This window comes from Homo sapiens, chromosome 17 (genome assembly GCF_000001405.40).
Source record: "Homo sapiens chromosome 17, GRCh38.p14 Primary Assembly".
NCBI classification, from domain to species: Eukaryota; Metazoa; Chordata; class Mammalia; order Primates; family Hominidae; genus Homo; species Homo sapiens.
Genome location: NC_000017.11, coordinates 76,691,285 through 76,712,221, shown reverse-complemented (window position 1 = coordinate 76,712,221; position 20,937 = coordinate 76,691,285). Strand labels below are relative to the sequence as shown.

The 20,937-nt window shown below is 52.0% G+C and overlaps 1 protein-coding gene and 1 pseudogene across 4 annotated transcripts in view, besides 7 other annotated features; both read left to right on the top strand.

Moving 5' to 3' along the window:
• Nucleotides 1,026–1,235: a silencer, noted in NCBI's record as "silent region_9024". NCBI's record gives its function as "represses an Ori minimal core promoter by ATAC-STARR-seq in GM12878 lymphoblastoid cells {active_cell/tissue: GM12878}" and the evidence as "EXISTENCE:reporter gene assay evidence [ECO:0000049][PMID:35858748]".
• Nucleotides 1,257–20,937, top strand: part of MXRA7 (matrix remodeling associated 7) — a 38,415-nt gene continuing 18,734 nt past the window's right edge. For 3 of the 4 annotated variants that reach the window (NM_001008528.3, NM_198530.4, NM_001008529.3), the window contains exon 1: nucleotides 1,257–1,617. In NM_001008528.3, the coding sequence (NP_001008528.1) occupies nucleotides 1,276–1,617 (342 nt within the window). In that variant the 5' untranslated portion in view covers nucleotides 1,257–1,275. Of the gene's footprint in view, nucleotides 1,618–2,663; nucleotides 2,725–20,937 lie in introns of those variants that run through there. The other variant, NR_130926.2, reaches the window with a different exon arrangement.
• Nucleotides 8,495–8,590, top strand: RNY4P36 (RNY4 pseudogene 36; annotated as a pseudogene).
• Nucleotides 10,068–10,571: an enhancer, noted in NCBI's record as "H3K27ac-H3K4me1 hESC enhancer chr17:74697733-74698236 (GRCh37/hg19 assembly coordinates)". NCBI's record gives its function as "activates a minimal SCP1, AML or CMV promoter by ChIP-STARR-seq in primed H9 embryonic stem cells {active_cell/tissue: H9 hESC(primed)}" and the evidence as "EXISTENCE:reporter gene assay evidence [ECO:0000049][PMID:30033119]".
• Nucleotides 11,077–11,581: an enhancer, noted in NCBI's record as "H3K27ac-H3K4me1 hESC enhancer chr17:74696723-74697227 (GRCh37/hg19 assembly coordinates)". NCBI's record gives its function as "activates a minimal SCP1, AML or CMV promoter by ChIP-STARR-seq in naive H9 embryonic stem cells {active_cell/tissue: H9 hESC(naive)}" and the evidence as "EXISTENCE:reporter gene assay evidence [ECO:0000049][PMID:30033119]".
• Nucleotides 11,582–12,086: an enhancer, noted in NCBI's record as "H3K27ac-H3K4me1 hESC enhancer chr17:74696218-74696722 (GRCh37/hg19 assembly coordinates)". NCBI's record gives its function as "activates a minimal SCP1, AML or CMV promoter by ChIP-STARR-seq in naive H9 embryonic stem cells {active_cell/tissue: H9 hESC(naive)}" and the evidence as "EXISTENCE:reporter gene assay evidence [ECO:0000049][PMID:30033119]".
• Nucleotides 13,409–13,961: an enhancer, noted in NCBI's record as "H3K4me1 hESC enhancer chr17:74694343-74694895 (GRCh37/hg19 assembly coordinates)". NCBI's record gives its function as "activates a minimal SCP1, AML or CMV promoter by ChIP-STARR-seq in primed H9 embryonic stem cells {active_cell/tissue: H9 hESC(primed)}" and the evidence as "EXISTENCE:reporter gene assay evidence [ECO:0000049][PMID:30033119]".
• Nucleotides 13,962–14,515: an enhancer, noted in NCBI's record as "H3K4me1 hESC enhancer chr17:74693789-74694342 (GRCh37/hg19 assembly coordinates)". NCBI's record gives its function as "activates a minimal SCP1, AML or CMV promoter by ChIP-STARR-seq in primed H9 embryonic stem cells {active_cell/tissue: H9 hESC(primed)}" and the evidence as "EXISTENCE:reporter gene assay evidence [ECO:0000049][PMID:30033119]".
• Nucleotides 14,516–15,069: an enhancer, noted in NCBI's record as "H3K27ac-H3K4me1 hESC enhancer chr17:74693235-74693788 (GRCh37/hg19 assembly coordinates)". NCBI's record gives its function as "activates a minimal SCP1, AML or CMV promoter by ChIP-STARR-seq in primed H9 embryonic stem cells {active_cell/tissue: H9 hESC(primed)}" and the evidence as "EXISTENCE:reporter gene assay evidence [ECO:0000049][PMID:30033119]".

Here is a 20,937-nt window from a genome sequence, read left to right as displayed (position 1 = left end):
CTGGGCAACAGAATAAGACTCCATCTCAAAAGAAAAAAAATAGGCCCATACACTGGCTGAAACTTCCACAGTGGTTAAAAGCTAGTCGCCCGTAGATAAAGCCTATTTCACATTTTATAGTTTATAGGCTCTTTTCATCAACCACCACTAAAAGGAAGTGCATGGCCCGCTTAATATCGTGCAGTGCAGCAGAATTCAGCTCTCCCTGTTGCTGAGGGGTCTCGTTTGTGTATCTTCATTTAAAAAGAAGCACTCCATCTAATATCTGGTTTATATCACAGATCAGCTCAGGCACTGTAATATTCCCAAAAAAGTATTAAAGGCATCCTCAGCAAAAACTGGAACCGTGTTTTTTTTAACATTAGGCCTTATGTTTGGCGTGATACCTGACATGCCCGTCCTGTGTTTATTTAAAATAACTAAAGAGTGGGTGGGGAGTGGTAGGAAAGTATGTTTTTGGTTACAACGTGTTTATCTCAAAATCCACTGTTCAGCAACAGAGGCCTGGGAGGATCTGGAGAAACAAAAACAATAGCCTTCATTTCCTTCATTGTACCCTCCCACCCTGCATGCATTCTGGAATTGTGCAAAGAAGAAAGTCTGGTAAGAGGAATAGCGTTGACCAAGGACCTGCAGCTGAATTTCAGGTCTAGGGGCGGGGGAGCCATGTTACTGTTAACAGGGAGGCCTGTGTTGAAGGCTGCTGGCCTCAGCTCCGAAGGGAGCATTCACTGGCCGGGATCTGGAGATGTCCTCTGTGAAAGTGCATTAAGGCAACCCTGAGGATTAAAAGCAACTCCTGACATGCCTATAAAAACGGCAGTGGCTGAACGTAATCCGGCATTATGATTGCTTTACAAGCCAATCCAGGCTGCCGTTTCCATGAAGCTTCCCGGGTTTGCTTGTCTCTCTGCATTCCCACATTTCCAAAATGCTCTAAGACGAACCGCCGTACTAAGGCCAAAGATGACAACCTAAGGGCACCTCATACAGTATTTCAAATTGAACCTGAGCTAAATTGTGCCCCAAAGCGTCAAGGCTGCCCAGGCCGGGCAGGGGTTGGCCCTCCTGTGCCTCCCAGGTGGTCAGGGCTCTGCCCCCTCAACACCCCCGCCCGCAGCCTGTGCGTCACCCTCCCGGGGCCGGAGGGGGCGGGGGCGGGGCGCGGCGATGGGGGCTCCGCCCCGAGGCGGGGCGCGGCGACCGGGCGCGGCGACGGGGCGCGGCGGGCTCCCTCGGGGTCCCAGCTGGCCCGCACTCGGCGGCCGCGGCGCGATGGAGGCGCCGGCCGAGCTACTGGCCGCGCTGCCTGCGCTGGCCACCGCGCTGGCCCTTCTGCTCGCCTGGCTACTGGTGCGGCGTGGGGCGGCCGCGAGCCCGGAGCCTGCCCGCGCGCCCCCGGAACCCGCGCCCCCGGCCGAGGCCACCGGGGCCCCGGCGCCGTCCCGCCCCTGCGCCCCCGAGCCGGCGGCCTCGCCCGCGGGGCCGGAGGAGCCTGGAGAGCCCGCGGGGCTGGGGGAGCTCGGGGAGCCTGCGGGACCGGGGGAGCCCGAAGGGCCAGGGGATCCCGCGGCGGCGCCAGCGGAGGCGGAGGAGCAGGCGGTGGAGGCGAGGCAGGTACGCACCGGGGCCCTCGCGGCCCCCTCCCCACCCCCGGGGCTCCGGCTGCCGCTGCCGTTCCCCGCCGAGCCAGGGAGCGGGGCCGCGGCCTCCAGCCCAGGCTGCCCCCAGGAAGCGCAGAACCCGCGGCCCGCAGGAAATGCAGGTCCCGCCATGCTAAGCCGCAGCCCCGCAAACTCGCCGCCCTCCCCCAGAAAGTGTGGCGAGGGGCGAGCCCGAAGGAGTTTGTTTGGAGGTGTTTTGCTCTCCCCTCCCCTCGGCCTCTCCCAGCCCAGGGCGTGCTCCGCAGCTGCTGGCTCCCAGGCCTCGGGACCAGGGCTTGGAATTTTGCTCCTCACCCACTTCTGACCCCTCCCGCCCACCGGTTCCCAAATCCACGTGCCTGTGGCTTATTTCCAGGCCTGCCATGAGAGTTATCTTGATGTTTAAAAAGTAGGACTTTCGGGGGGCGAGGGAGGAAAGCTGGCTTTTCTTTTTCAGCCAATTTGAAGTCCAGATTTCAGAGTCAGTGCTGTGGCGTTTTGTGAAGCCCGTGGGCTGGGACTGAAAGAAAAGGCACCCGATCCCAGCAGTCCTTTTTATTGTCGTTTTCAAGCTACACATCTAACACCCTCCTACCCCCACTCCCCCGGGTTGTAGGTAAGCTGGGCCTGGATGGAGTGAAGATGCAGGATAAAGCCCTCCTGGAGCACCAGTGAGCACCCCAAAGCGGCCCTCCCTGCCTCTGCCCCAGGCCTCCCGCCATGCTGTCCATCAGCTCGGCCTTGGCCACCTTGTCCTGCCTGTGGATATCTGAGAGGAGTCGGATTTCCCTCATCCACTCATCCCAGCCCCTACACTGTGTGCCCATGTTCCCTGGAGTTCACCACGCTTGGCCGGTCCAGGCCACCGCCAGGGTCTCCGAGTCGGATTGTAATCCCTTGTTCTTACCCCTGAGCTCCTTTTCTTGGAAGGGAGGAGAGCCGGGATGCGCATTGTCAGCGTGCCTGCGTGTCTGCGTGCCCACTCTGTCCTGTGCTGGACACAATGGTTTACCCTGGAGAGAAGCCCTTCGGGGGAGGAGGAGGCAGCCAGGCTGTGCTCAGAGGCATTTCTCTTTGCTGAGTAAGTGCGCCAGACCCCCTCTGAGCAGGCGCTTTGCTTGACAAGTGGGTGACTAATTGTGTCATTAGAGAGGATTCTAACCAGCCACATTTAATGGGGTGGAGCAGGGGCAGGCCCTGCCGTTCTTGCTTGGGGTGGGCTTCCAGACCTCACGCGGTGATGGTGGAGGGGGCGCGGTTTGGACATGTGCTGATCTGTTGTGTTTGCTCCCATATTTGGGATTCCTGCCTCCATCGAGGTCTCGCGGGAGCAGGAGAGGCCTTTAGACAGTTCTGGAGCCGTCATGCACACTCAGTCAGTCCTGGCCTTACAGGGCTGGCCCTTTATCACCCACACCAGGCTCTGGACTGAAGTGCAAAATGTCCTTTAGCGGCGCCCTGTCTTAGCTCAATCCTGTGGGGCACAGCGCTTAAAGAACTTTCTACAAGGCTTTCGGCTCTCAGCACATGGTACCTACAGGAATAGGTTCAGTGGTGTTTAAATAGGGCCACTCGCATAATTTGCCACTGTCTGGGTGAATGCACGTCCTCTGAAGCTGAATGGGTGCTCTGAAGGACAAGGCAGTATGGGGGTTCGCGTGCCAGGCAGCCCCCATGACATAGGTGCCAGTGAGGATGACTTGAGGCTTGTGTCTGTCCTCCCGCTAAGGCACCCTCCAGAGAGAACCCACCCCACAGGAGAATTCAATTGAAGTCAGTGCCCTTCCCCTTTGGGTTCAAGTCCCCAGGCCTTCCTGAGCTGGCCAAAGCTCCCCCAAAACTCCTGCCTGCAAACATTAAGCCAGGTGCTGTGGGGACACAGATATTGTGTCATCCCACCCACTCCCAGTGGTGGCATTAACCTAAGAAGCTGCTTAGAAATTGTCTTGATGAGCTTCGAGTCAGTGACAAGAAAAAAAAGAAAGGAAAACAAATTGTCCTGAAGTGGACTCCAGCGTTTCCAAGAGCTTCCAGTGCTTTCTTCTGATGATCACACTGCTGGGGCTTGGAGGACAGATAGGGAGAAAGGCCCCCTGGGGAAGATAACTCAAATCAGGGTTGGGAAGTGGGGCTATGCCCTCTGCCAGCCTCCTTCTCCCTCCGTCCCTAAGCGAACCCCACCAACAGCGAGGGAGGAGGGCAACTCCACCTGCTGTTAGCTCGGAAGTCACTGCCCTGGGGAGCAGCGTGTAACTCACCTCTCCCCTCCCTCTTCATTTTCCATTAACTGCCTCCTTTCTAATCCAGTCCTCTCCCTTCCCAGGGAGGCCTGGGCGGGCTGGGGCAGCTGCTGCCTCTGACTACAAAGCTGATTATTGAGAAGGATCTCTCGCCCCGGGAAGCAGCCTTCAGCTGCTATTGGGGATCGCTCAGGAGCGTCCCCTAGTGCACGGTGCCCTCTTTGGCCAAGGACAAAGTAGTGGGGAGGGGCTACTATAGGCCGAGACCCTGGAAATGGACCAAAGAAATGGGGATGAGATCAGTGCAGCTCTTGCTTCCCCAGGGCAGCACAGGCCAGGGCAGGGAGGCTGAGGAGAAGCGGAATGATACTGCTAGAACCTCTTTTCTCTCCTAAGGATTAGCACAGGGTGGGCTGTGAGGAAGCATTATAGGCAAGGCCTGTTCACGCAAAGAATCATGAGCCAACGAAGTCAAGAACAGGAGCCGGCCTCTTTTCAGGCCAGGACTCAGGGCTTTCTTGGTGCTCCTGTGTAGGTTGGGGTTTTAGGATTGCCAGGCCTCTTACCTAATGGACTTGTGGATTGGAGCAAGGCTGGATGGTCGGATTCCCAAACATTGGTAATTGGCAAAGCGTCAAGGGTCATTTGAATAGCACTAGAGTTAAATTTCTTGTCTGTGCCAGGACTCAAGTATCTCGGTACTTGGGGCCTAGCTCTGCTCATAGACAGACTAGAGCCCGGGCGCGATGGCTCACACCTGTAATCCCAGCACTTTGGGAGGCCGAGGCAGGAGGATCACCTGAGGTCAGGAGTTCGAGACCAACCTGGCCAACATGGCGAAACCCCGTCTCTACTAAAAATACAGAAATTAGCCAGGCATGGTGGCGTGCACGTCATCCCATCTACTCAGGAAACTGAGGCAGGAGAATCACTTGAACCCAGGAGGCTGAGGTTGCAGTTGAGCCAAGATCGTGCCACTGCACTTCAGCCTGGGCAACAGAACGAGACTCCATCTCAAAAAAAAAAAAAAAAAAAAAAAAAAAAAAAGAGTAGGGACTTCCTGCAAGGCAGTGGGCCGGTGTCATGAAGCACACAGAGACTCTTCTAGATTTAATTGGGATTTAGGAGATTAAAGCAATATGACAAATAAATACAATCTTGATCCTTGATTGGATTCTCCATCAGAGAAGGGAGCTATAAAGGACATACTGGAGATAATTGAGACATTTTTTAAATGAATGGCTGTGTTAGGTAAGCTTATTGAATCAACGCTGAATTTTTTGTGTACGATACCGGCAGATGGCTGTGTAAACAATGTCCTTATCCTTAGGAAGATGCAGGCTGAAACATTTTGGGATGACATGTCATGATTCAAATAGTTACATGCACACACACACACAGTGTGTGTGTGTATAGAGAGAGAATGCAAAGATGGCAAAATGTTAACCATTGGTGAATCTAGGTGAAGGGTGTATGGTATTCATTGTATTATTATTTCAACTTTTCTGTAGGTTTGGAATTTTTCAAAAGAGAATGTTGGAACAAAGAAGCCAACATTCTTCTTTGGGAAATTTCTTGGGAAAGGGGTTGGTTTTTCAGACACTCTGGAGGTGGTGGTCTGAGTGGGTAGCACAGCCTTCATCTGTCTGTCTTAACCATGTGACTTGGCCCTGGTTCCCCTGAAGTCACCCTGCTGTCAGGTCCACCTGTGTCCTCTGCCCTCACCAACCTGTTCACCATAGGTGTGGGCTCTGGAAGCTACAGAGACCCCAGCCTTCCCAGAATGACCCAGGAGCAGGTGAACTTCCCCATCATCTCTCCTGCCTTTGTGATGGCAGTGTGGTCCTTTTTGATGGCAGTGTGGTCCTTTTTGATGGCAGTGTGGTCCTTTTTGATGGCAGTGTGGTCCTTTGTGATGGCAGTGTGGGCCTCTGTGACGGCAGCGTGGGCCTCTGTGACGGCAGCGTGGGCCTCTGTGATGGCAGAGTGGGCCTCTGTGATGGCAGCGTGGTCCTTTGTGATGGCAGCGTGGGCCTCTGTGACGGCAGCGTGGGCCTCTGTGACGGCAGCGTGGGCCTCTGTGATGGCAGAGTGGGCCTCTGTGACGGCAGAGTGGGCCTTTGTGATGGCAGCGTGGGCCTCTGTGATGGCAGCGTGGGCCTCTGTGACGGCAGCGTGGGCCTCTGTGACGGCAGTGTGGTCCTTTGTGATGGCAGCGTGGGCCTTTGTGATGGCAGCGTGGGCCTTTGTGATGGCAGTGTGGTCCTCTGTGATGGCAGTGTGGTCCTTTGTGATAGCAGAGTGGGCCTTCGTGATGGCAGTGTGGTCCTCTGTGATGGCAGTGTGGGCCTTTGTGATGGCAGTGTGGTCCTACTTTCTGTTCTCTTAGCAAAATCTCAGAAGCCAAGTAGTGGAGGGCCAAGTAGATATTTGCCAGTTGTTTATATCACTTTAGGTCCTTGTCTTTAAGCAGCTTAGGCTGATATATCAAAATACCACAGACTGGGTTGCTTAAACAACAGGCATTATTTCCTACACTTTTGGAGGCTGGGAAGTCCAAGATGGAGGTGTTGGCAGATTCTGGTTTTGGTGAGGGCTCTCTTTTTGGCCTGCAGACAGCCACCTTCTTGCTGTACTTTCACATGCCAGAGAGAGAGGGATGTCTCTTCCTCTTCTTATCAGGGCCCTCATAGCATTGTAGGGACTCCACCATCGTGACCTCGTCTAAATCTCACCTCCCAAAGACCCCCACCTCCAGATACCATCACACTGGGGGTTAAGACTTCAACAGATAGATTTGCAGGGGACACAAATATTTAGTCCAGAACAGGCCCAGTGACTTACTGGGGAAAAAACTAGAAATAATCCAAATGTTCATTAATTAGCACATTGGATTCATTAGCAAATTAGTATGAAATAAGTAAAAAGGTAGAACATAAAATATTGTATTCACAATAACTATAACGATATAGAGCAACTGAATAGAAGATGCCTTGGAGGGCTGTAAGTAGAGTTCCCTGTTCAGTAGTTCCAGTGGGTATTTTTTTGTAAAGTTGTTTGAGTGCCTAACTTAATTTTTTTCCATATATGAAAGAAGTCCAGGGGCTTTCCTAATAGATAAACTTTGTTCTTTCAGAGAGAAAGAGCCTTGGTTACAGACTAATGTCAGCTAGAATTTTCTGCTTAGCAAGAAGGAGTATGTTTTTAAAGAATATGTCTTGAGAAAAAAAGCCACCTAGCTTTGGAGAGCTAGAAATGAAATGGTGAGCATGCAGACAGTTTCCTTTTTGTAGCCCCGCTCTTTCCCACTCGGCTCAAACCACACTGTGGGAGGAGGGAGACCAGCTTGGGCCTCTGGTAAACCGTCTTCCAGAGAAATGCCAGATCCCTGATGGTTAGGAGTATTTCTGGAACAACCTGCGTTTGGCCACACTGGGCTTGCCACTGTTAAGGACAGATGTATGGAACAGGATGAGGAGGTCAGGTTCAGAAGCCCCTTCTCTAAGGGGACCTCATGCAGAACTGTTTCCAGCATTCTTTTTTTTTTTTTTTTTTTTGAGACGGAGTTTTGCTCTTGTCGCCCAGGAGTGCAGTGGCGCAATCTCAGCTCACTGCAACCTCCACCTCCTGGGTTCAAGCAGTATTCCTGCCTCAGCCTCCCAAATAGCTGGGATTACAGTCATGCACCACTATGCTTGGCTAATTTTTGTATTTTTAGTAGAGGCGGGGTTTCGCCATGTTGGCCAGGGTGGTCTTGAACTCCTGGCCTCAAATGATCAGCCTGCCTCGGCCTCCCAAAGTGCTGGGATTACAGGCATGAAAAAAAAAAAAGCTGGCCGGGCGCGGTGGCTCACGACTGTAAACCTAGCACTTTGGGAGGCCGAGGCGGGCGGATCACGAGGTCAGGAGATCGAGACCATCCTGGCTAACACAGTGAAACCCCATCTCTACTAAAAATACAAAAAATTAGCCGGGCGTGGTGGCGGGCACCTGTAGTCCCAGCTACTCGAGAGGCTGAGGCAGGAGGATGGCGTGAACCCGGGAGGTGGAGCTTGCAGTGAGCTGAGATCGCACCACTGCACTCCAGCCTGGGCGACAGAGTGAGACTCCGTCTCAAAAAAAAAAAAAAAAAAAAAAATCTGAAGGAAGCTGGAGGGTGCTGCAGCAGTCATTCTAGTCATTCTATTCCCTGCTGCGGGGTGGTAGAAGCAATGCTATCTTCTTTTTCTCTTTTTTTGGAGACAGTCTCCCTCTGTCGCCCAGGCTGGAGCGCAGTGGCACAATCTTAGCTCACCGCAACCTCCGCCTCCCGGGTTCAAGTGATTCTTCTGCTTGCCTCAGCCTCCTGAGTAGCTGGGATTACAGGTGGCCACCACCACGCCCGGCTATGATGCTGTTTTCTGGACACAGGGTTACATTGGCTAAAACAATGTCTGCATGAGATTTGATGGCCCAGAGAAAACCCATTGCAGGACTCACGGAAGTTGTTTATCTTCAAATGTTGCCTCTGAATTGCCATAGAACTTACAGAAGTGATTGTCCACTTTCCAGGCATCAGCTCCAGTTTTTTGTTTTTTTCAATGTATTCTTTTTTTTTTGAGCTAGGACCTCAGCTGGTCCAATGGTGTTGGGTTATCAGAACTTGTTAACATTAGTGTCACTAAACTTGATATACAACCCCCTACTGCTAAAGTTAACTGGCTTTAAAAAACAAAAAACAAAACAGAGTCTCACTTTGTCGCCCAGGCTGGAGTGCAGTGGCACAATCTCAGTTCACTGCAACCTCTGCCTGCTAGGCTCAAGCCATCCTCCTACCTCAGCCGCCCGAGTAGCTGGGACCACAGGCACGCACCACTATGCCTGGATAAGTTTTGTATTTTTTGTAGAGATGGAGTTTCGCCATGTTGCAGGTTGGTCTCAAACTGCTGAGCTCAAGCAGTCTGCCAGCCGCTGCCTCCCAAAATGCTGGGATTACAGGTGCGAGCCACTGTGCCCAACCCTTCAGCTCCAGTTTTGTGGCCTGTGTATGTGTGTATTTAATGTTTTCAAGTGAGAACTCCTTGCGCACATTTATAACCCGCTGACCAACCTGACCTCTGGGTGAGACAACCCTGGCAGATTCTCAGCAAGGGCCTTCTTGTGTGATGTCCTTGGTATTCATCGTTTTTCTCCTGGCCTGATTCTTATTTGCTGAGGACTCAGAGTCTGAGATAAATCTTGCTGTTTTGAGACAAGGTCTGGTTCTGTCACCCAAGCTGCAGTGCAGTGGTGCAATCTCAGCTCACTGCAACCTCCACCTCCTGGGCTCAAGCCATCCTCCCACTTCAAGAGAAGAAAATGCCCCCAGCCCAGTGGTGTTCTGCTGGAGATCAGCAGGAAACCCTACTCCATAGTCAAGTCAGCCGTTAGCCTTTCAGGAAGTTCTTCCTATGGTGAGGCCTCCTCAAGATATATATATATATATACGTATATATATATATTTATTTTAAGAGGTAGTCTCGCTCTGTCACCCTGGCTGGAGTGCAGTGGCGCGATCTTGGCTCACTGCAACCTACCCCTCCCAGGTTCCAGCGATTCTCTTGCCTCAGGCTCCCAAATAGTTGGGATTACAGGCACCTACCACCACACCCAGCTAATTTTTGTATTTTTAGTAGAGATGAAGTTTCGCGTGTTACAGGCCAGGCTGGCCTCAAACTCCTGCCCTCAAGCAATGCATTCGCCTTGGCCTCCCAAAGTACTGGGATTACAGGCATAAGCCACTGCGCCCGGCCCTCAAGAGATTTTAAAAACTGACCACTTGTCTTCTTCTTCTTCTTCTTCTTTTATTTATTTATTTACTTATTTATTTAGAGAACCAGGCTGGGGTGCATTGGCACAATCATAGCTCACTGCAGCCTTGACCTCTTGGGCTCAAGGGATCCTCATGCCTCGGCCTCCTAAGTAGCTGGGACTACAGGTGCACACCACCACAGCCAGCTAATTGTTAAACTTTTTGTAGAGATGGTGTCTTGCTATGTTGCCTAGGCCTGGTCTCGAACTCCTGGCCTCAATCCAACCTCCTGCCTCTGCCTCCTGAGGCTGTGTGATTACAGATGTGAATTGCTGTGCCCAGCCCTTATCTTCTATTACTATATTTCAAGCTGGTCATGGTCAAAATTGTTCAACCTGGTTTTCCCCCATAAAATTAAGTCACTTTCTTCAACCCTCTTCCATCAGATTTTATTCATCTCTTAGTTTTCTTCTCTGTCCTATATTTTCTCTATCTCAAAATGTAGCACCTAGAATTCGACCTGATATTCCCTGATAGGGGTTGCGGAGAGTACAGATTGCTGCCCAAGAGTGTTTTGTTGTTATTGTTGTTTTCCTTTTTTGTTTTTTAAATGAAGCTTTTGGTGTCCTCTAAATCCTCTTTGTAGGAACTTGCCAGAAACTGTTAAATCTGATAGGATTGAATCTGGCATGCTCCAGTCATCTGAGCAAGAGTTTGTTTAGGGCTTGTGAATGTGCCCTTGATCGGGATGTGAGGTTGGAATGCAGGACGATGCTTTTGGTCTGGACATTGGAACGCAGCAGTCGGCCCTGGGCAGGGGTTGGGGCCCGGATGGGGTCGGCTCCTCGCAGGAACAGTGATCCTGTCTCTCCCCAGACACCCCCCACCCACAACATACTCCCTCCTTGTCTGCGGCTTACCCAGCACACTCCCTCTGCTCTTTGCCCTGCTGGAAGAGCTCATGCCCATAATATCAACTGCAGGACTCCTGGACCAGGCCTGCCTTGCTGCCTTCCAGAACACACCTGCCGCCCCCATCCCCCTGATCAATAGCTGATGGTGCCCACATCTATACGCCCAGCTCTCGCCTCCCCTGAGCTCCCTGGCCTGTGGGTTGTCTACGTGCACCTCAGCCCAACACGCTGACAAGTGCCTCATTTCTGCTGCCCCTCCACCCGGCATTCCTCATCTCATCCCGGATCCACCCCCCCGACGCTCAGCTGCTCAGACCAAAAGCCCAGACATGTCCTTGTTGTCCCCGCCTCCCTCACGCCCTGAAGACCTGCTGTCTGCAATTCTGGTCACCTCTCTCCAGAGTGTGTTCCGAGAGCAGCCCTCCCTCCTCTCATCTTTCTGGCTCCTGCTTCGGTGGCTGTTCAGTGACCTCCTCACTGGTCTCCCTGTTTCCCGTCCTCCCCACCCCTGCCAGGCTCTTCCAGCAACCAGCATGACCTTCCTAGCGCAGAGAGCACACCCCCCGGCCCCTGCTCACAGCCCTCCGCGTGCAATTCCAAACTTCCCACAGCCCCAGGTCCAGGAGCACCCTGCCTACTCGGCATCTGCTCCCAGCCCCCCACAGCCACAGACTCCTTTCTGGTGCTTAGACCTGCCAGCCCTGCGCCCACATCAGGACCCTGCCCAGCACACCCCTCCCTGCCTGAGCCTCCGCGCAGTCGGTCCTCACCTCTCTCCTCTCTATGTCCTTGCCCCCGTGAGCAGATGTAAAGTCCCCCGCCTGCCGCCCGCCCACTCTCTCTCTCTCTCCAGTGTATCATCACGTTTGGCTTTCTTCATAGCACTTCATCCGGTCTGAGGTCATCTTTTATTTCAGTGTGGCTTGTCTGCCGCAGTGGAACGCCTGTTCCGGAGAGCAGGGCCCTTGCCCGCCACATCCCAGCTCCTGCAACAGGCCCGCACGCAGTAGGCACCTGTTGAATAAATACGCCACAATGCCACAAAAAGAAAGAACAGAAATCGCTGTGGGCTCCTGCCTAGAGGCAGGTCCTGTCTCTTTGTCTCCCACCTGGGGCAGCAGGAAGGTATCTTGTTTCTGTCCCTGCCCAGGCCTGTAGCCCAGCGCCCTGCACAGCCGCCTGCAGTTCTTGCCCTCGTGCTGTTATGTTATGCCCCAGAGAGGAAGACTGCTCTGTAAGGTAGTGAGTTTCCTGTGCCAGAAGCGTTCAGACAGAGACGGGATACCAGCAGTTCATCCAAGTTTCCATCAGCGACTGTTTTTCCTTAGGCGGAAGCCACACTAGATCAGTGGTTTTCTAACATTTTCTAAAACACTGGATCCTGGCTGTGTCCGGTGGCTCACGCCTGTAATCCCAGCACTTTGGGAGGCTGAGGCGAGCAGATCACCTGAGGTCAGGAGTTCGAGACCAGCCTGGCCAACGTGGCAAAACCCAGTCTGTACTAAAAATACAAAAAGCCAGGTGTGGTGGCGCATGCCTGTAATCCCTACTTGGGACTAATCAGCTACTTGGGAGGCTGAGGCAGGAGAATCGCTTGAACCCAGGAGGTGGAGGTTGCAGTGAGCCGAGATTGTGCCACTGCACTCCAACCTGGGTGACAGAGTGAGACCCAGTCTCAAAAGTAAATAAATAAAAAATGATAATAATAAAACACTGGATCCCTTCTTGCCTCTTCAGTGTCTTATGGAAGCCCAGGACATAAAGCAAAAACAGAGCTGCTCTGGGTGGCAGTCTAGGCCCCTTTTACTCTGTCCCCTCCTCCTTGCAGCAGTCTCTGCAAACCTAGGGTAGAATTAAAGGGCCTCCAAATCAGGTCCTATGACCCTGGGGGACCCCTGCCCAGACAGAGGAAGGAGAGGGGTGTGTGCAGAGGTGAATGTGGAAGGACAGATCACATTCCTGAGGCCATGGTGCAAAGAGCACCCCAAGTCCCAGCCCACCACCCCTACCCAGTGGCACCCTCGGTTCTTAGCCATCGAGGAGAGAGACCTCACCCAATCTGATGGCAGGAGAATCTGGAAGTAGAACTTGGAGAAACAGAGATTATTGAAATTGAACAAGGTCAGGCAATGTAGGCAGGTGGCATGGGTTTTGAGCAGGAAACACATTATGAAGTTGGCATTTGAAGATGTTCTTAAAGCTGGATGAGGGCTGGGTGTGGTGGCTTCTGCCTGTAATCCCAGCACTTTGGGAAGTTGAGGCAGGAGAATGGCTTGACCCCAGGAGTTTGAGACCACTCTGAGCAACATAGTGAGACCCAATCTCTACAAAAAATAAGAAAACTAGCTGGGTGTTGTGGCACACTCCTGTGATCCCAGCTACTTAGGAGGCTGAGGGGGGAGGGTTGCTTAAGCCCAGGGAGGTTGAGGCTGCAGTGAGCCATGATTGCACCACTGCACTCCAGCCTGGGCTACAGAATGAGTCCGTCTCCCCAAAAAGGATGAATTGGAGGAGAGCAGATGTAGGTGCCACCTGAAGGCATTGAATGGTTGTAGCAGGAGAACAAAGGGGTGAAGCCAGAAGCCTGTTGGAGTGAAGGGGAGACTCTAGAATTCAGAATAGAAAGGAAGTCAGGGCTGGGCGCGGTGACTCACGCCTGTAATCCCAGCACTTTGGGAGGCTGAGGTGGGCGGATCACTTGAAGTCAGGAGTTCAAGACCAGCCTGGCCAACATGGTGAAACCCTGTCTACTAAAAATACAAAAATTAGCCGGGGATGCTGGCATGCACATGTAATTCCAGCTACTCGGGAGGCTGAGGCAGAAGAATCTCTTGAACCCGGGAGGCGGAGGTTGCAGTGAGCAGAGATCCCACCATTGCATCCCAGCCTGGGCAACAGAGCAAGACTCTTATCTCAAAAAAAAAAAAAAAAAAAAAAAAAAACAGAAAGGAAGGAAGTCAGGTTGGAATCAACATTCCCAGGCCATGTTAAGGTGTCAGAGATGCTGTGGCTGCCAAGAAAAACTGGACAAGTGAGAGGGGGACAGTTTGAGACTTGGGTTACTAGGTTCTGGACAGAAGTTCCTGGGACATGCCTCATCCAGTTGCAAATACGGATTTAGAGAGTGGAGCCTGCGTGTCCCCAGCCTGGAGCTGTAGTTTGGAGGGGGAGATGGCTGAGTTGTTTTGCCGGGTATGGAGGAACAGAGGTGACCCCTGCCCCAGCCTGCCCTCCCTGCCCACCACCAAGCCCCCGGAGCTGGCGCCAGCTGGGCTTTGCTGCTCCCCCCCCGCCCATTGCAAAAGATGAGCAGCTGATTGGCTAATGGAGTCCTTCTGGAAGGAGTGAGAGCATTGTCAGGCACTGTGGAGGCAGCCCTGGGCCCGGCCCATTCTGGGGTTGGGGGGCCTGGGCAGGCCCCTTGTCGCCTTCCTGTTATCTCCATCCTTGCCTGCTGCAGGCAGGGGAGGGACAGGTGTCCCCTTGGGAGTTAGGAACGGCCTGCCTCCTGGAGCCGCTGTCCTCTAAAGTCATTCTGGATTAGCCAGTGGGATTGGTGCAGTCACAGCATGCGGCAGCTCTGGTGGCCACAGGGCCACAAGAGACCTTCTTTGCACTGCCCCACAGCAGAACCATCTCCTTGGGCAGCAGACACGCAGGCAGAAATCTGTCTCTATCACTCTCTCTCCCTCTGTTAGTGTTCTCTCTCTCTCCCCTCCCCCCGCCTTATCTATCCCTCTCTTCTCTCCCCTCCCCTCTCTCCCTCTCCCGACTTCAGCACTTTGCATCACGCTTGAATTAGCTTGAATCAGCCAGGGCAGCCATAAATGGCAGCGTGCAGCCTGCAGGGCGTGAGCTTGGTTCACTGTGTCTCCCAGCTACTGCAGCCTGGCCGGGCCCCTCAGCTTGGCCTCCGGGGCACCCTGGTCCTAGGCTCCTAGCACTGGGGAGGCTGTCAGGAGGCACGTCCCGTTTGCCTTCCCCCTCCCGCCTCCACCTCCTCCATTGGAGGGAAAAGCTGAATTAGAAAATTATCCCAGAACATGACATTAAAATGTGGTCTCTATTCAGTCATAAAATGCTGAGACTCTGATCAGTGAAGTGATGGAGCTTGGGCTCAGCCCAGCCTGCCCTGGGGACCAGCCAGGGTGACGCCAGCTGCCTGTCTCAATTCACTGTTTCCATGAAATTGATTGACTTTCATCAGAAACATGATGTATTCATTTGCCAGGGCTGCTATAACAAAACACCACAGACCGGGCACCTTCAGCAACAGACGTTTCTTTTCCCAGAGTTCTGCAGACTGGAGGGCCAAGTTCAGGGTGTCCGCAGGTTCGGGTCCTCCTAAGCCCTGTCTCGCTGGCTTGCAGTTGGCCGCCTTCTCCGCCTCCTCACATGGTCTTTCCTCTGTGCACTCACAACTCTCATGTCTCTGTGTGTGTCCGAGTTTCCTCTTATAAGGACAGCAGTCCTTGGGTTAGGGCCCACCCTAATGGCTTCATTTTAACTTAATCACCTCTTTAAAGGCCCTGTTTCCAAATAGAGTCAGGCTGAGAGGTAGTTGGGGCCAAGGCTTCAGCATATGAATTGGGGCGTGGAACACAGTTCAGCCCATGAGCCGAGTAGCCTGAACACTCCTGGGACCAAGGGCATGGACAGGAACTCCGCGGTGATGATGGCCTTGGGTGAGGTTTGAGTCAGCGCTCGAGCAGCTGCTCTGTTCCGTTTCCTTTGAGACCTCAGGAAGAATCAGCTGCGTACTCTGTTGGGTTCGTGCCGCCTCCAGGAAATGATCCTGGTCGCACCCACCATGGCACAGCTGCCTGATGGTGGGGAGGACTCAGACCATGAGACCCTGGAGAGATTGCCTTTGGCTGGCCGCACCTTCACGGATTCATTCAACGCTGAGCTGAAGGCCAGGTGCCTTTAGCATCGCAGTTTGGGCCTTTATCATCTCTCCCCTGAGCTCTGTACCCTCTTCTCATAGTTCCTCCTGCCTCTTCTCTTGCCCCATTGCAATCCTCCCACCTCAGCCTCCCAAGTGCAGCTCTCACTCTGTTTGTCCGTGTTTATTTTTTTCGTTTAAAAAATTTGTATTGACACCTGTTTATTTTTTATTTTTATTTATTTTTTTAGAGGCAGGGTCTCCCACTGTCACTCAGTTGGAGTACAGTAACATCATCATAGCTCACTGCAGCCTCAAACTCCTGGACTCAAGCGATCCTCCCACCTCAGCCTCCGAAGTATCTGGGGCTACAAGCACATGCCACCACCCCCGGCTAATTTGTTAATTTTTTATAGAGATGGGGGTCTCACTTCATTGCCCAGGTTGGTCTCAAACCCCTGGCATCAAGCAGCCCTCCCACCATGGCCTCCCAAAGTACTGGCATTACAGGTGTGAGCCACCGCGCCCAGCCTTGTTTATCCCTGTTTGAAAGTTTCAGGTGGCTTCTCACTTCCTGAGGAATGAAACCAAACGCTTTAGTGTCCTGTATATGATCTCTGTGGTTGCAGACCCTGCATTTCTGCACACTGTTTCTTTCTTTCTTTTTTTCTTTTTGAGATAGAGTCACGCTCTGTCACCCAGGCTGGAGTGCAGTGGTGCGATCTCGGCTTACTGCAACCTCCGCCTCCTGGGTTCAAGAGATTCTCCTCCCTCAGCCTCCCAAGTAGCTGGGATTACAGGCACCCGCCACCACACCTAGCTAATTTTTGTATTTTTTTAGTAGAGAGGGGGTCTCACCGTGTTGGCCAAGCTGGTCTTGAACTCCTGGCCTCAAATGATCCACCTGCCTTAACCTCCCAAAGTGCTGGGATTACAGGCATAAGCCACAACACCCAGCCTCTGCACACTATTTCTGACTGTGTCACACCCACCCTGCAATCATACCCAAGTCTGTAGAGCCACTGGAAGAGCCGAGGTGTTCCGTGCCTCCATGCCTTTACATGGGCTGTGCACTCTGCCCAGATGCCCTTCTCTCTACATCTGCCTGGCAAGCCCATCTCGGACCCAGCGTGGCTTTCTCATCCACTCTGAGGCCTTCTTTGCTCCCTGCAGACACAGCTGAGCTCCCTTTCCTCCAGGCCCCCACCGTGCACACTCCTGAAAACATAGCTGCAAATTTGATTGTGCCAAAGCGGAAGGAAAGATGGGCGTGCTATGAGGGAGGCACGAAGGTAAAATCCTTAGTGCCAGCTCTCTGTTGAGCACAGCCTTAGACGATGGAGCTCTGGTATTTCGCACAAGGTTTTGCTTTATCCCTTCCCATCCCGTTGCACACACACACACACACACACACACCTGAAGCTAAAGAGCCACCCCTTGCAGAAGGGTTTGTGTCTTTGTCTCCATTGCACTGTGTCTGAAACCGGCACTTCTTACTACTGGAGTCAGCACTTTCACTTTTCTGTTGTGTCCACACTTTTATAAAATCAGGGCAAAATGCAGTCAACACTGGTGGTTTTATTGTTTTATTTTGTTTTGTTTTGTTTTTGAGACGGAGTTTCGCTCTTGTTGCCCAGGCTGGAGTGCAATGGCTTGATCTTGGCTCACTGCAACCCCCACCTCCCGGGTTCAAGCGATTCTCCTGACTCAGCCTCCCAAGTAGCTGGGATTACAGGTGCCTGCCACCATGCCCAGCTAATTTTTTTTATTTTTTAGTAGACCCAGGGTTTCACTATGTTGTCCAGGCTGGTCTCGAACTGCTGACCTCAGGTGATCCACCCACCTCAGCCTCCCAAAGTGCTGGGATTACAGGCCCCCGGCCCCCGTTATTTTTTAAAAAAGTAAAACACCACAGCCAGAAGCAGGGAGGCTGAGGCAGGCAGATCCCTTGGGCCCAGGAGTTCAAGCCCAGCCTGGGCAACATGGCAAAACCTCATCTATACCAAAAATACACAAATTAGCCAAGCCTCGTGGCCCATGTCTGTAGTCCCAGGTACTAGGGAAGCTGTGGTAGGAGGATTGACGGAGCCTGGAAGGGCAAGGATGCAGTGAGCCGAGATCGCATCACTCTACCAACAGCCTGGGTGACAGTAAGACCCTGTCTCAATAATAACAATAATAATAATTGGAATTCATTCAATTATTATTAGTATATTCTTTAAAAGCCTAACAAGTTACCCAGATAAAAGTGAGGATGTTATTTCCAGTAGAAGCCCAGGTGTGAGGCCCTGGGATGCCTCTATGAGGTGCAGTTTGATAACCACTCAAAAAAACATTCCATGGCTATCCAACCCTTGACTTCAGCAGAGCTGAGATTTGATGCAGGCAAATTTGAGATGTTCTTGGCCTGCAAAGTCTGAGTGTGGTGAGTGGTGGACAGGAGAGGTGTCAGTGGATGGCGGACACCGTGGTCCAGGGGCTGTGGGAGTTGGAATGGAGCGGTTCTCAGGCAGGGAAAGGCAGGGTGGAATGGCCTCAGGACAAGCACATGGTAGGGGAGGGGGCTCTCCAACGAGTCTCTCCACCCGGGCCCACTCTAGGCAGCTCACTGCTCTGGTCCCAGAGGGTCCTTGTCCCCCAAGCAGAAATTGGGCTCCTGGGCCTATGCCCCCGCCCATCCAGATAAGTAGATGGAAGGGGGAGGGTTTGACCGCCCCAACTGGGGCCACGGGATTCAAGGGACAACTTCCAAAAGAACAGGGGATTTCTGCACAGACAACAAAATAAATGGCCAATTGAGCAGTGTTTTCAAGCTTTTTTTAATTAGGTGTCACAATAAGAAAGAAATTTTAAATTACATCCTGTATATAAAGTCACACAGCTACACCAGAAGTTTTTTGTTGTGTTGTTGTTTTGTTTTCTTTTGTTTGAGACAGGCTTTCACTCTTTCACCTAGGCTGGAGTGTAGTGGTGTGATCTCGGCTCACTGCAGCCTTGACCTCCTGGGCTCAAGTGATCCTCCCACCTCAGCCTCAGCTGGGACTACAGGCACATCCCACCATGCCCAGCTAATTTTTGTAATTTTTTTGTAGAAATGAGGTTTGACATGTTGCCCAGGGCGGTCTCAAACTCCTGGGCTCAAGCAGTCCACTTGCCTCAGCCTCCCAAAGTGCTGGGATTACAGGCGTGAGCCACCTCACCTGGCCCCAGAAGTTTTATAAACCAGTATCTAACTCTACCACACACAAAACACTGTTTGTCTTTAATTTCTTTTTCTTTTTTTTTTTTTTTTTTGAGACAGATCTCAAAAAAAAATCCAGTCTGTTGCCCAGGCTGGATTGCAGTGGCGTGATCTCAGCTCATTGCAACTTCCGCCTCCCAGGGTCCAACGATTCTCCTGCCTCAGCCTCCCAAGTAGCTGAAGCAGTCGTGCACCACCACACCCAACTAATTTTTGTATTTTTAGTAGAGACGGGATTTCCCCATGTTGGCCAGACTGGTCTCGAACTAATGACCTCGTGATCCATCCGCCTCGGCCTCCCAAAGTGCTGGGATTACAGGCATGAGCCACCGCGCCCAGCCTTGTCTTTTATTTCATTCTGGGATACAGGGGTGTCCCCAGAGTCTTAGTGCAGTTTTAATAAATAACTTCAGATGTTTAAATGTACAAACCTACAAAACATCAGTTGAATATTTACTTATTTAAATTTCTTTTCCACTTAGTTTCCTGACAGTCAAGTGCTAGATTTTTTCATTTTAATTCTCCGCATGTGCTAGTGTCTGGAGGGACAGGCAGGCAAAGGACCCCTTTCCTGGGCTGAATTGACCTCCCTTGAGGTCACGTGTGCACAAAATCCAGTTCTTTGGAACCTGGTGAAGCTGGAATCACCAGTGCAATCTTTTCCCGTCACTGACCAACAGTCGATAAAAGGTTTTTCGAAGTTTGAACAACTAGAGCCATGTATAGCACTAGAGGGGGTACTGTAAGAATCTGAGTGAGAGATATCAAGGTATTTTAAATGTAAATAACCTTTCAAATGTCATTTTTTGGTACATTTGTAGTATCTATACTTCTGAAGTTATTAAAGCCTCAAACTTCACCAAGACTTTGGTCGCCCATTTTTTTTTTTTTTTAACAATACTAGTAAGGCCTTCTCATTTGCTTTCCTGACCCATCAATGGGTCATGACCACAGCTTTTTAAAAATCAGACTTCCAGGCCGGGCGCGGTGGCCCACACCTGTAATCCCAGCAGTTTGGGAGGCCGAGACGGGCGGATCACCTGAGGTCGGGAGTTCGAGACCAGCCTGACCAACATGGAGAAACCCCATCTCTACTAAAAATACAAAATTAGCCAGGTGTGGTGGCACATGCCCATAGTCCCAGCTACTCGGGAGGCTGAGGCAGGAGAGTCGCTTGAACCTGGGAGGTGGAGGCTGCAGTGAGGCAAGATCGTACCATTGCACTCCAACCTGGGCAACAAGAGTGAAACTGTCTCAAAAAAAAAAAAAGAAAAAATCAGACTTCCAAAGTCAAGTACAATTTTTTTTTTCTTTTGGTGACAGGGTCTTACTCTTGCCCAGGCTGGAATGCAGTGGCACCCCCATGGCTTACTACAGCCTCAACCTCTTGGGCTCAAGCGACGCACCTGCCTCGGCCTCCCAATGTGCTGTGATTACAGGTGTGAGCCACTGTGCCTGGCCCAGAATCTAAATGTGTACCAGCCTCTCTGTGCTCAGGAGGGCTTGGGCACGTCAGCTGATACTGGGTCCTTTGGGGATACGGATCTGCCCTGGCTCATGGACTCCTCGCCCTGGAGTGCAATTATTTGTTTGTCTTTCCTACTGGACCACGAGCTCCGTAAGGCAGGGACTGTGCTCATTGTTGCTGTTGTTTTTCATTTAATCTTTGTGTCCTTTGCACATAATAGGAGAACTGGCCTCCTGTCTATTCTTGATATTGGGCTTAGTTCCGGGGCCGTGCCCTGAATAGGTCAGTGACTGTTTGCCTGTCATTAAAGAGAGACATCAACCATGAGAAAAACCAACTGTTTTTCTGTCCATGCACACAACACTCCACAGAACCCTTCACTTCTGATACCAAATATGCAGCCAGCCCCACCCCTGCAACCAACACCTTCTCCAGCCACCCAGACACCAAGTGGGTGTCCTCCCGTTCAACTCTGACATTAACTGCCTGGAATCAGTGCAGACCCCACAGGTTAGGGCCCAGTCCCACAGACTGCCCCCTACTTCAGGGGCCAATCACAAGTATCAGGTCCCCTCGTTCCCCACACTTTGGTCCTACTTGCCTACAAATCAAGGGTTCCATGAACCCCTCCTCAAGTTGAGTAATTTGCTACAGCGTCTTACGGAGCTCAGGGAAGCACTTATGTTAACTGGTTTATTAGAAAGGAAGTGATAAAGGCTACAGATGAACAGCCAGATGGAGGTACCTAAGTAGAGTAAGGTCCAGTAGGGTCCTGA